Source organism: Homo sapiens, chromosome 2 (assembly GCF_000001405.40).
Source record: "Homo sapiens chromosome 2, GRCh38.p14 Primary Assembly".
NCBI lineage: Eukaryota > Metazoa > Chordata > Mammalia > Primates > Hominidae > Homo > Homo sapiens.
The window spans coordinates 46,260,327-46,274,879 of record NC_000002.12 but is presented as its reverse complement, the minus strand read 5'-3'; the positions used below and the strand labels follow the sequence as shown (position 1 = coordinate 46,274,879).

The 14,553-nt window shown below is 42.8% G+C and overlaps 1 long non-coding RNA gene across 2 annotated transcripts in view, besides 1 other annotated feature; it reads right to left on the bottom strand.

The window, feature by feature from the left end:
* Positions 1–14,553, bottom strand: part of LOC101926974 (uncharacterized) — a 44,062-nt gene that overhangs the window by 15,619 nt on the left and 13,890 nt on the right. The window lies entirely within an intron of this gene.
* Positions 4,956–5,250: an enhancer, noted in NCBI's record as "tiled region #5165; K562 Activating DNase matched - State 8:EnhW". NCBI's record gives its function as "activates a minimal TATA promoter and a strong SV40 promoter by Sharpr-MPRA in K562 cells {active_cell/tissue: K562}" and the evidence as "EXISTENCE:reporter gene assay evidence [ECO:0000049][PMID:27701403]".

Here is a 14,553-nt window from a genome sequence, read left to right as displayed (position 1 = left end):
CCTAGACTCGGTGGTTTAAGTCAAAGACATTTATTTCTCACAGTTCTGGAGGCTGGGAAGCTCTGGTATCTCATCCTCTTTTTATAAGGGCACTAACCTCATCATGGACACTCCACCCACATGACCTCATCGAAACCTCATCACCTCCCAAAGGTCCTGCTCCTTAACACCATCACATTGAGGGTTACGGCTTCAACATATACATTTTGGGGGAATACAGTCCATAACAGGTGGGAATGTCTTGGAAACCAGCCCTCATGGGAGACATAAACACTCCCTCTATGCATCCTGGCTGATGCATATACAGTCTTTCTTTGAATGTCCCCAAGGCAGCCAGCTCCCTCCCTCCATGTATTGGACATGGTTCTGCTCCCTGGGAGAGACCAAATTTGTCTGGCCCTTCCTGTATTTGTAGACTGAGTCAACCTTTCTCTAGACTAAATGCACTAGCTCTTCCCATAAGCTTCCTACTCTTTTAGTGGACAGATCTGTGCAATGGGAATGATAGTTCCAAGAGTACTCTGAAATCCCAAGAGATCCTGAAATATGTCTGACACATCAGAGAAGGATTGGTTAGGTTTGCTTGACAGAACTGTTCTTTAAAGATTGGTAAATGATCAATCCACTAGCCATGGAAGTGACAGCTTGCGTTTAACCAAGTTGTAAAATCACCCAGTGCTAGTTACTTAGGGCTTCTTGACATGCACAGACGCTTGGCTGAGTCCTGGAAGCTGCAGTGTTGACTTAGCCACTGTCCTCAGCCCGGTGTAACTACACAGGGTCAAAATGAGTCAGCAGGCACCCCAGGCCCTCATCCATTTTCCACAGTCTCCTGAAGGAAATCTCTGGGCAGACGGGGAGGTATCAAGGAGCTACCAGGGAGCTAGGCTGAATTCTGGGTAAGGCAGGAACGTCCCCAAGGCAGGCAGCTCCCTCCCTCCATCTGGGTCATAGAGATGAGCCAGTTAAAGATACAGTGACCTACTAGAATTGTTTAATTTGGGGCTCACATTGGGCCCAGAAATTTCAAGACTTCTTTAGAGCAATGTTTTTCCAATCACTCCTCCGTGAAAGTTGTCAAGTGTTAACTCCTCAGGGAAATGGAAAGCTAAGAATTCTCCACAATTGGCTCAGGAAGTACACACTGAAAGTTTAGCCTGACCTAAGATCCCTAAGATACATGTTTTATTTAGCTTCAGGGTGCCCTTCCTATGTACCCATTTCAGGGATTGGACACAAAGTTCAGCTATAGCAAATGTTTGCTCTAAACAGGAAGTGTTGGCCAGTACTCCTGATCTCCAGAGAGCTGGGTGGGTGGGGGCTCTAATTACAAAGGGAGAATGGCTGCTGGGGGTGTCCTGACTTTCTTCCTGAGACACCTCATCGTCCTTCCTGCCTTACCCAGAATTCAGCCTAGCTCCCTGGTGGTTCCTTGATACCTCCCCGTCTGCCCAGAGATTTCCGTCAGGAGACTGTGGAAAACGAATGAGGGCCTGGGGTGCCTGCTGACTCATTTTGACCCTGTGTAGTTACACCGGGCTGAGGACAGTGTCTAAGTCAACACTGCAGCTTCCAGGACTCAGCCAAGCGTCTGTACATGTCAAGAGGCCCTAAGGAGAAAAAGCAACCAAGAACAGATTTAGAGACCCAGACAGCTATTCTGTAAAATAGGGTTCCAGACCCTGGGCACCCAGCTTCCCATGTGCCTCTGGGCCTCAAGACAGTTCTTAAAAATGCCTCTTAAGTTTCTTTCTGGGCCTGTTGGAGCCTGAGGAGGTTGAAACATAACAATCATGTTTTCCCCATCCAAATTCTGTTTTTTTCTTTTTTTGGAGGCAGACTCACTCTGTTGCCTAGGCTGGAGTGTAGTAGCATGATCCTGGCTCACTGCAGCCTCTATCTCCTGGGGTCAAGCGATCCTCTCACCTCAGCCTCCTGAGTAGATGGGACTACAGGTGCACACCAACCATACATGACTATTTTTTAATTTTTTTGTAGAGACAAAGGTCTCACTATGTTGCCCAGGCTGGTCTTGAATTCCTGACCTCAAACAATCCTCCCACCTCTGTCTTCCAAAATATTGGGGTTACAGGTGTGAACTACTGTGCCAGGCCCCAAGTTCTGAAATATAGAAACAGCGGATGGAGGGAAAGATGTCGGCTCTGTTATGGACTGAGCTGCTGAGGACTAGGGACTTCCCAAGGGGGCCCTTGAGAAGACCAGCTTCAGCAGACCCCCAACCAGCTACAGGCGCCCCCAGTTGGTAGATCCTTTACCCCTACCCCTGTCAGAGCACCTTAGAGTGCAAACTACCTGCTGTGAGGCACACCCAACTGGCCCCTGATCCATTCCCAAACTGTTCACTCAGTCACTACCGCAGTTCACCTCTGTCGGGGGTCGGGCATGGTGGAGTAACCTGCCAGGAGTGCACAGATAATTCCCTCCTCATGGAAACCAAAGACTAAGGAAGAAGCCCTCCCTCATCTCTAGTAATTTATTTCTTAGGAAAAGAAGGTTGACATTCGGGGTAAAGAATTTGGGTTAGGAACTGGCTTCCAGGGGAGTTGGAAAGCAGCCACTGACAGAGGCCATCGAGTCTCTCAGGTGGGCAGGGGGGAAGCATTCCAGTCAATTCTGAAACGCTCTGAGCAGCCACTTGGTGCTGGGCACTACGCTACCATCTGGAAATGCAACGAGAAATGCAAGATGAAGAGAATGCCTTCAACATTCTCAACTAGAGGCAAGTCATTTGTGCTGCCTGGAATTGAGGAATGAAGAAAGTACAGAAAGAGAGGAGAGACAGTATTTCTGTGGGAGACACTCTAAAGAAGGTGAGCAGATACAGCGGAGGCCTGATGGGAGGGAATACATGGAAGCATTAGAAAAACCATGTGGTGGCCGGGCACGGTGGCTCACACCTGTAATCCAGCACTTTGGGAGGCTGAGGCGGGTGGATCACGAGGTAAGGAGATCAAGACCATCCTGGCCAATATGGTGAAACCCCGTCTCTACTAAAAATACAAAAATTAGCCGGGTGTGGTGGCATGCACCTGCAGTCCCAGCTACTTCGGAGGCTGAGGCAGGAGAATTGCTTGAACCAGGGAGTTGGAGGTTGCAGTGAGCTGAGATCGCACCACTGCACTCCAGCCTGGCAACAAAGTGAGACTCCGTCTAAGAAAAAAAAAAAAAAGAAAGGAAAGAAAAGAAAAGAAAAATCATGTAGTTTAAATAACATCCTGCCCAGGGGCGGAGGACTACCGCTAGTTAGACCACTTCTTTAAACTCTAAACTATAACTGCAGGGGTGTTTATGTTTAGAGCCATAATCCCTCAAGGAGTAAAACGGCAATCCCACATAAGTACCACATCAGCCAGTTTGCCTCACCCAGCACCTCTGCACTCAAGGTGGCTGCTTTCTCCCGGGATTCAAAAGGCATTAGCCCCCTGCCTGTGTGTGGGTGTATGCACTCTCACTGGCTTTCTAAGATGATCGGCCCCCCAAGGGTTCTTGCAGAAGCTTTGGGGGCCTCAGATCAGCCTCCAGGGGAGCCCAGCTTACCTTCCCAACCCCTTCTTAGAACTTCCACAGAAGAGGCCTTGACACCAAATGGCAGGTCAGGTTTGGAGAAATTTCTCAATTCATTAGTATCTCCCCATTAACAATAGAACTGCTTTCCCTTTTGGGAAACATGTGCTTTGACTGTAAAGGAGGGACCAACTTTTTCCAGTGGCCTTTCTCAGCCAGGACAGTCCCATCACCTCCTAGCTGTGTGACGGACAAGATCTCCCACATCCTGAAAGACTGCTCCAGGCTACTGCCGCTGTCACCACACCCAGGCAAACCAAGATGCTGGCTTCTGTACCCAGAGCACAATTATGCCCAGCTCTGCCAACTCTTACCAGCATTCACATGCCAGTGAAGGCCCACCTTGATTTAATAAGACATTAATGTCGAACAATAACAAAGGATTAATTTAAGCAAATAGAGAAACCTGAGCTTGGACGCTCCCTGTGCCTAACTGATGTGTCCCATTTGGGGCCACAGCCTGTTCTTTGGCAGGGCTGGGTCCTGGGAGACCATAGGATTGGTGGAGAGAGTCATATCTGCCAAGGATAACTTTCAAGGGGATGTGTGCCCGGGAGAAAAGGGTAGGGATTGTTTGTAGGGTAAGGGCTGCATTTGCAGCTCCCATCTGCAGAGGGACCTGTCCAGTGGAATAAGTATGGAGCTGGACACAGGAGATTTCAGCCAGGGGCTGTGTGGGCTGGGGCCAGAGCCCTAAACTCTCTAGGTCTCACTTTCCTCACTGGGTCTTTGGGTAGGAAGATACTTCTCTAGGGATGATGTCATGCAAGTGAAATGTGATTCTTCATCCACACTGTAAGCTCCTAGCAGAGAGTAATGGGTGCTAATCACTCCTTCCATCTTCTAGGGTACTTAGCAGAGTGCTCAGCTCTTAGAAGACACTCAGCCAAACAAACGTTTGTTGAACAAATGTATGACTCTGTTTCCTCCCTGCTAGAAAACCCCTGTCCTAAAAGGAAGCAAGTTTTGGGCAAGTCACAAATATTCCAGTTGTTGTATCCAAGACCCTCCATTTCCATATTGTCTGTAGTTCTAGAAATTTGCTGAGAAACATCAACAAAGTAAGGTTTTGCTTTATGAAGGAACAATGCTCCCAAAAAGTTGGGTGTAAGTTGGATTTTTATGAGACAATTTAGTATTTTAAGTGCACAATGTGAATTGGTTATTTTAAGAATGCAGTGAAGTTGTATAGGAAGTGAATAATTTGTTACATCAGTGTAAGGTAAAACCCAGCTAAACCACAGAAATTATGCTTACACACGGATACATTGCACCCACTGCACCCTCCCAAGTGTTCTGTTGCTAAGGGTTCAATCTTAAAAGAAGGATTACATTACATTATTTTAAAAGAAAAACGAGGGGAAAAAATTCACGAGTGCTGTTGCCTTTAAAAATGCAAATAACGGATAGGGATTCTCCTAATCTTCCGGGATTGCAGCTCCTGATTCAGCTACGGATTCCCAGTAGGAGTAGAGGGGGAAATGGGCTGGAGAATCACTAATCACCAGTGGCTGATTAGCTTCTGGGAAACCAGTGAGTCACACGGGGCCACGGTGGGCAACCCACAAGTACTCTTCATCAATGGCCGTGAGTCCTCTCCCAGAAGGAGTAGGGTGTGACCTTCACAGCCATCTGGATGGACTCAGCCTGGAGTGTGCGAATAAACCTAAATTTGTTTCGGGTTTAGAGGTTTCTGTTGCTCCCAGGGCAGCAACAGAGACCTCTAAACCCAAAACAAATGATCTTAATTGGGCTTTGTGGCCTTACCTCCAGGAGGCAGAGGCATTAAAGATTTTTTCAGTGGTGTAGGGTGTGTGAGGTGGGGGTGGGTGGGAGTGGGGATGCCGTTCTCTCCAGCCTCAAAACTTATTCCCCTTGGGAGTAGGGAAATGTTGCGGGGAAAGTACAGGAGTGGTGGACTGTATTATTATTCGCCAATAATAGATTGCATGAGGATTATAATTTCTTATCTACTTTAAATCATGCTTGGCTGTAACACACTTTAACCAATGAAATGTGCACAGAAACAACCTGGGTCATTTCCAGGCAAAGGCTCCAAGAGCCAGCTCCCACGGTCACCACAACATTCTGGAAAGTGGCTGTGGCATCATCCTGGAACCACAGGAATGACAGCACAGAGAACCCCCAGCCAACCTATGGTAGATGTGCAGAGTGAGCAAGAAATAAACCTCTGAAGTTTGAAATCATTGATGTTGGGGATTGTTCATTACCATGACAAAACCTTGCCTCTACAGATGGGTTCATGACAAATACAAATCGATTAAACATAAATCAGGTAGGAAGATATCACAGAACCAAGGAACACTTACAGCGTGGGCTGAGTGCCCTCAGGAAGGTGGTCAAGGAAGATGGAGAAGGAGCATGCATCTCCCAGGTTACATCTGAGCCTGGAGTCGCCAGGCTTCAAGGACCTGAGGGAAGCTTGTCTTGTCTCTGGGACATTGAGATAATCTTCAACGAAACCTTGTTAATAGTTTCCCCCAAATGGACACAAGTGGTAAGTTTTCCTTTCTGCACTCTGACCTTTCCCAACTCCTGTCAATCTCTATCTATGGACTAAGCATAAACTGATACTCAGCCTGGTGCCACTGCCTTCCAGAACAAGGTGTATTCCAGACCTAGATCACGTGAAACCTGTGGGAAGAAAAATCTAACCTGCGAGAAATATGTAAAAGTGAGATAGTGCAGAGCTGAGTGATAAACTGTGCAGTCTTTTTTTCTTTTTAAAATTGTGATAGGATACTTGTAAAATTACCATTTTTACCATTCTAAGTGTATAATTCAGTGACATTAAGAATATTTACATTGTTGCACAACATCACCAGCATCTATCCACAGAACGCTTTTCATCCTGCAAAACTGAGACTCTTTACTCCTTGAACAATACTTCCCCATTCTCTCCTCCCCCAGCCCCTGGAGCCACTATTTCACTTTCTGTTTGTATGTGAGCTTGACTACACTAGGCATCTCTAGAACTTCTTGCTCGTGCTGAAGAAGAGTGGTCTCCAAACCTTTTTAACCATGAACTCCCACTGTTAAATATCTTAGCACACATACCACCAGTATGTCATAGTTATTACTTTATAAATTAATACATTTATACCACTTTACTAACATATGATGTATATTTGAAAAACATACAGAGAGCAGCAAAGCATTTATTCCTTCTTTTTAAAACATATTATTTTGAGATAATTTTAAACTTATAGAAAAGTTGCAAAAATAGTATAGAGAGTGTTCATACATTCTTCTAGTTTCTCCTAATGTTAATATCTTATATAATCATTATATGACAATGATCAAAACTAAGATAGTAACATTGGCACAATATTACTAACCAAACTATGGACTTTATCTGGATTTCCGCTAGTTTTCCCACTAATATCCTTTTTCTGTTCTGGGATCCAAGCCAGGATCCCACATTGTATTCAGTTGTCCTGTCATTTTAGTCTCTTGGCCCAGTCTGTGATAGTTTCTATTTTTCCTTGTTTTTCATGACTGGAACATTTTGTAGAATGTCCCTCAGTTTGGGTTTGTATAAGGTTTTCTGATGTTTATATTGTGGTTATAGATTTTTGGCAAGAATAGCATAGAGCCAGTGTGCTCTCCTGAGTCTATCATACCAGGGGCTACAGGATGTCTGTATGTTTTATTATTGAGGATGTTAACTTTGATAATTGGTTAAGGTGGTGTCTGCTGGGTTTCCCTACTGTCAAGCTACAGTTTTAACCTTTGTAATTAATAAATATCTGGAGAAAGATACTTTGCAAATATCTTTCTTCCCAAAGTGTTGCCCCTTAATTTTAATATCTCTTGTGGATCTTGCCTTCAATATTATTACTGTAGTGTTCTAATGGTGATTTTTCTATTTCCTTCATTCCTTCCACATTTATTAGTTGAAATTCTTCTGAAAGGAAGAGATTCCTTTCCTTCCCACTTATTTATTTCTCCAATTATTTCTTTATATAGGAATAAACTTATGGATATTTATTTGGTTATAATCTAATAATATTATTATTACCATTATTTATCTTACTCCTCACATTGTTCCAGCCTTGGCTATTGGGAGCTCTTTCATGTTGGCTCATATCTTTCTGGTCCCACAACATGTTTCAGGATCATCTTGCATTTTCCCTGCCCCTGACCTGGAATCATCCACTTCTCCCTGGTATCTCTTATTGGAGAATGATATTTTAAACAAACCTGTGAGAGTTGGTGTGCTCATTGCCATTGGGATGCTATTGCTTCTAGGCTCTTTCAGCAGACAGAGATAGGATATATATATATATAATTTTTTTTTCCAGGAGACAGGGTCTCACTTTGTTGCTCAGGCTGGAGTGCAGTGGCACGAACATGGCTCACTGCAGCCTCAACCTTCTGGGCTCAAGTGATCTTCCTGCCTCAGCCCCCAAGTAGCTGGGACTACATGCACGCACCACCACACCCAGCTAAGTTTTGTATATTTTGTAGAGACAGCATTTCACCATGTTTCCCAGGTTGGTCTTAAACTCCTGAGCTCAAGCGATCCACCTGCCTTGGCCTCCTAAAGTGCTGGGATTACAGACATGAGCCACTGTGCCCAGCCAAGATAGGATTTTTATATATGTGCACTAATATGTGAATATACACGTTTCTATATTTATTTTTGTAGCTACTTCTCTGTATATATATTAAAAGACCATTAGTGTCCATAAACAGATGAATAAATAAACAAAATGTAATATCTAGTACAATGAACTATTATCCAGCCTCAGAAAGGAAGGGAATTCGGATATATGCTACAACATGGATGAATCTAGAAAGTATGCTAAGTAAAATCAGCGAGACACAGAATGACAAATAGCATAAGATTCCACTTATCTGAAGTACAAGAATAGGCATATTCACAGAGATTACTGGGGGTGGGAAGGGTCGAGGAATGGGGAATTACTGTTTCATGGTTACAGAGTTTGTGTTTGCGATGATGAAAAAGTTCCCAAATTGGATGGTGGTGATGGTTGCACAACATTGTGAATGTGGTTAATGTCACTGAATTGTACAATTTAAAAGGTTAAAAAGGTAAATCTTATGTTGCGTGTATTTTACCATAAACAAACATGAGTTCATGGTGATACTTTTGCATCCAGTCCAGTAACACAGAGTTCATTCTAGCCTTCCGTTTGTTTTTATTGGTAACTTCTTTCTCTGATGGGGGAAATTGGGCTCTTCTTATTCATAATATATTTACTTATTGTTCAACCCAAGTATATCCATTTTCAGAATTACTTATACATGTCCTCACGAGAAACAAATTTACTAACTACATTATTTGTGCATAGTTCATTTTTCTTTAACCTTGCAATTCCCAGTCAAAACACCGCTTGCTTACTTAGATTAGTTCTTTTCTTCACCACCCCCATCAGTGTGGTAGTGCTATTCATTTATAATATAGTTAGGTTCATTTGTTAGTTTGTGTCCTGATTTGAGTTCACTCCATGCCCTGATTTTAAAATTTTACATACTGTAAAATTCATTCTTTTTAATGTATAGTTTTATGAGTTTTGACCAATGCTCAGAGTAGTGTATCACCACCAGCCATGATACAGAACAGGTCCATCACCCCCAAATTCCTCATGCTGCCTTTTTGTCATTAACTCCTCCCGACCTCTGACAAACACTCATCTGTTCACCACCCCTGTAGTTTTGCTTTTCCCAGAATGTCGTATAAATGGAGTCATACAATATGGAGCCTCTTGGTTCTGGCTTCTTTCATTTACTAAATACATTTAAGATTCAGCCATGTTGTTGTTTGAATCAATACTTTGTTCCTTTTTATCGCTGAGTAGCATTTCATCCATTGTATGGATATGCCACTGTTGTCGGTCCATTTTCTGGTTGAAGGACATCTGGGTTTAGTTTAGCAATTATAAATAAAGCTACTACAAGCATCCATGCACAGGTTTTTGTGTGAACACAAATTTTCATTTCCCTAGGGTAAATACCTTGAAGTAGGATCGCTGGATCATCTGGTAAGTGCATGTTTAACTTTATATGAAACTGCCAAACTGTTTCTCAAGTGGCTCTGAAAGCACCCATTCTCAATCCTGTGAAACTGGGTGTTTTTGACATTCAGAAAAAGCCAGATACTGTGTTAGACACTAGAGACAGAACCTGGCACATGGCAGGCTCTCGGAAAGTACTTGCTGAATGATAAAAATAACAAATACAAAAATAACGAACATAAAAATGACTAACACCTCTCATCACAGGTGAGGAGCAGAATGGGTGCTCTAGGGTTACTGAAGAGAAGGGATCACATTAGAGGGAGTCAAAGAGGGCTTCATGGAGGAGGGGAGCTGTAACAATTTGAGGAGAAAAAGACTTATTTTGTAATTCCGCATGCATACCTACACAAATCACATCTTTCTATCACATCTCCTCAACTCTTTGTGTGTTTAAAGCATTTGAGTTTAGGATTAGAAGCAACAATTGTATTATGTAATGATTTTTATCATGAATATATGTCTACACACACACACACACACACACAAATGATTCTTTTTAAAAAGTGGCTGATTTTGAACAACCACTGTCTAATACCCTTTTCCCCTCCTCCACGGCTCCCACAGGCCTCCAGCTGTCCTCTGGTGGCTGGGTTAGGACTACCTCCACCGGGATCCTGCACTGCCTGGTGCTTCTCCAAGCTCCACACTGACCACTCATTCACTTGTCCATTTTTTGCCTCTTTTCTTGTCACTAGAAGTGCTTTGAGGGTATGGAAGTCTTTTTTTTTTTCTTTTTAAATCTCTGTCTCTAGAGTCTAACACAGTGCCTGGCATTTTCTGGATGTCAAAAACACCCAGTTTTATAGGATTGAGAATGGTTGCTTTCAGAGCAGTGGGCCACTTCACCTTCCTTAATCTACTGTTTTCTTTTCTTCTTCTTCTTTTTTTTTCTTTTCATCTTGCTCTGTAGCCTATTCTAGAGCTCAGTGGCATGATCATAGCTTACTGTAACTTTGAACTCCTGGGCTCAAGTGATCCTTCTGTCTCAGCCTCCTGAGTAGCTAGGACTTCAGACAGACTCTACCACGAACAGCTAATTTTATTTTATTTTATTTTATTTTTAGAGAGACAGGGTCCTGAATTCCTGGCTCAAGTGATCCTCCTGCCTCAGCCTCCCAAAGTGCTGGGATTACAGGTATGAGCTACTGCACCTGGCCATTAATCTATTGTTTTCAAAGCTGAATATAGTTAGTTGGATTTTTATACCTAGGCAGAACACCAAAGCCTTCCTGCACCAAAGAAATGTAAAACAAACCCAGAGAGTGACATTGAGCAGCTTTAAAGTGACGTTGTTTTCCTTTCACCTGGTGAATTTGAGAACGCAGTGGCTTTTGAGACTGTCCTGCCAGGTGGCAGGTGAGGCATGGAGTCTCAGCCCTGCTGGCTATAGACCATTATTAATCCATTTACACTACCCAACTGGCTCCTACATCACTGGGGTGTGAGAGAGGGGGGATGTTGCCCAAGCCAGAAGTTCTTCCACATAATCAAGCAGGTCTCTCTCTCCTCTAGCCCCAAACCTAGGCCCCTCCTCTCTGCTCCCTGGGCCATCCTGCTTTGCAGAGAATCTTGGATGCTGGTACCCATCCCATCTCCTCCCTTCCCCAACAGAGCCCTCCTTAGGTATGGTCCATCCCACATTCCTGAGTCACTCACTTATTCACTCAACAAACACAAACTGAGCTCCTATTTAACACCAGATCCAGGGCAGAGCCTCTTCATATCTGTCAAAAGTGACAGAGACAGATAAGGCCCATTCTTGCTCCTGTGGGAGTTCTGTGGCTTGAGTGTCCAGGCCGCATCTGTGTATGTTTTGGTGCCAGAGTCTTCAAGAAAAGCCATTCCTGAGAGCTTTAAGAACTCCAGGATAGGGTAAGGGAAAGTTTGAAGTAAAGCGAGATGAAACAAAACAAAACAAACAGACAGAAAACAAACAAACAAAAAAACCAAACAAGCAAAACAAAACAAAACAAACAAACAAAAAAAATAGATGACCTTGAAGTAGAGAAGATATCTCTGGGAGGAAAAATAACAGTACGGTCCCCAAATAGTACATTAATATCATTTCAGTATTTTTAAATACTTTTCAACATATTGTCCTTCCTGCATATCTTATCACCTCATCACAACATCCCAGTGAAAAGGGCCTGCACAGACAATTGGCTCCAATTGATCAGTGAGGCATCTGAGGGCTTGGATGAGTTAAGTGCATCACTCAATCTTGTAGACTGAGTCAGTGGTGAAGTGGAGACCAGAATTGACTTTTTCTTTTTCCTCCACCAATGACAAGGACATTATCCCATTAAAATGATGTCATGTGAGTCAGGTGTATGTGTCTCCTAATTGGATTTATCTTAGCCAAGTAAGTATCAAATTTTTCTGCAAAGTTCTTAGCCAATTAAGTATCAAATTAAGTATCAAAATTTTCTGCAAAGACATGAGGTGTTGCTCTTGCCCCAGCCTGCTTTGATCTGTGATTGGTTGGCTACCATGATGGACACCATGGTGACAGGTTGGCCACCAATAACCCACAGGCTTCTGAGTGAAATACTTTGTTAGGAGTACTCTATGGAGGTTGGTGTGGTCAAGATTCCTAAAATGTTATTTGGGTGTCTGCTGTCAAAGATGCGTGCCTAACAAACACCTTCTTCTGGAATAAGGCCAGAAGTCTACAGTCTCTGCTCTCAGGAAGCCCCTCATCTGATAAGGATAAGACTCTGGGGTAGTCCCCAGTCAGAAGGAGGAGGCTCAGCCCCCATCCTAGCAAGCCATCTGTCTGGAAGGAGGAATGTGGTCAAGCTGTTAGGTCATGCTGGTTTGGTTGGCCACATTGGCAACCCAACCTGCTCTATAGGTTTCTGAGGGCTTTTGGTCCAGAACCTTCTCCTTCCCTGTATAGAGCTTGCTGTAAAATTCTCCACCATCAAAGCTTTTCTGTCCAAATTCTGCTCCCATACCACGGGTGTAAGAACCTAGGATTGAAGTGGGGCAGGGGGCCTTTTAAAGCAGAAGGAGACCATTCAGCAGCACCAGTTGCTGTCCTGCCAAAAATGTGGCCTGTGTGGCCAGATCTGATAGTTTTCCTTAAAAAGTTGAAAGTTAGATTTGTAAGTGAAATTCCTTGATGCTTAAATATTGGTCCCCCAAATTTTAAACACTGTAAATCTCAAACAGTACATTTCTAGATATCATTTTATTTTTCCTCAAACCTTGCTATGTTAAAAAAATTTCAAATCCAGGAAAGTTTAAAGACGAGTAAGATGAACATCTGTATTCCTTACTCTCACATACTGTTAGCATTTTACATGTTTACATGTTTCATTTAACTCTTTTTCTTCCTACACACACACACACACACACACACACACACACATACACACACACACACTTTTTTTTTGGCTAAATGATTTGAGAGTAAATTACAAACATGATGATCCTTTACTTCTAAAGAATCCAGCATCTATCTCCCAATAACAAGGACATGTTCCACATAATCATAACACAATTGGTTTTGAGAAACTAAACATTGTACAATATTATCTAATGCATGGTCCATATTTGGACTTCCCCAATTGTCATAATACTTTCCTTTTTCTTTTTAAAATCCACAATCTAGTCCAGAATCACACATTGTACTTAGATGTCAAGCCCCTCTGGTATCATCTCACCTTTAAGAGTTCTCTTGCCCTCTTTGTCTTTCATATCATGGCCAGTTTAGAAAAGCCCAGGCCAGTTGTTTGAAGACTAAGTCTGGATTTGCCTGATTATGTATGCTCATGATAAAAGGTCAGACATTTTTGGGAAGAATATTACATGGGTGATTTCATGTCCTTCTCAGTACATCATATCAGGGGCAAATATGTCAGTTTGTCCCATTATTGGTGATGTCAAATTTGTCCACATTGTTAAGGTGAGTTCCACTGGCCTTCTCCATTGTAGAGTGACCCTTTTCCCTTTTTAACTCATAAGCAATCTGTGGAGTGACATTTAGAGACTGTTACCTTAGGCTTATTTAGCACCTTTGTAGGTGTTTTGGGAACATAAAAAGAGACAATGGTACAACAGTAACCAGATGCCTGGTTCCCAGACACTAATCTGAGACCAGCTGCAATGGAACCCCCAGTGCCTCTGCAAGCTGTTGGCTCCTGGGCCCAAGGGCTATTTATAATCATTTGAAGTGAGGATTGTATTTTTCATAAAAAGCAGAGCAGTGTCACTCCAAAGCATGTATACAAACTAGTGTAGACGTAGCTCAAGTGCAGCTACACTGAACTATACCTATATATACTGGGCACATTGGATTATAGTAGCATACTTTGGACAGCTTGCAAAGTAATGCAGGTATAAGCTCAATTATAGTTACACTGGCAAGACACCACTTATTTACTCCTTCTGGGCCTCAGTTTCCTCATCTGTAAAGTAGATGGTTTGATATTATTTCTAAAAGTCCATTTTAGCTGTAATGTTTTAATTTTCAAAATTATTTTGCATCTATTACATGCCATGAGTTTTCCCATATTATATCTCATTTAAATTGTCAAGAGCTCAGTTTTTACACCTGAGGATTCTAAGGCAGAAGAGGGCTAAGTAACTTCCTACAGTCATAAGCCTAGCCAGCCGGTGAACCAGGATTTGAATCCTGGTGTTCCTGAGAACAAGAACAGTGTGCTTTAATTCACAGAGGCAGAAAGCAGGGACTGGGAGGAGGCGGAATGGGGAGTGATTGCTTAATGGGTACAGGGTTTCTTTTTGGGGTGACGAAAATGTTCTGGAATTAGATGGTGGTGATGGTTGCACAACATTACGAATGTACTAAAAGCCACAAAAAATACTCTTTAAAATAGTTAAAATGGTGAATTTTATGTGAAATAAAATTTGCCTCCATTTAAAAAAAAACAATAAG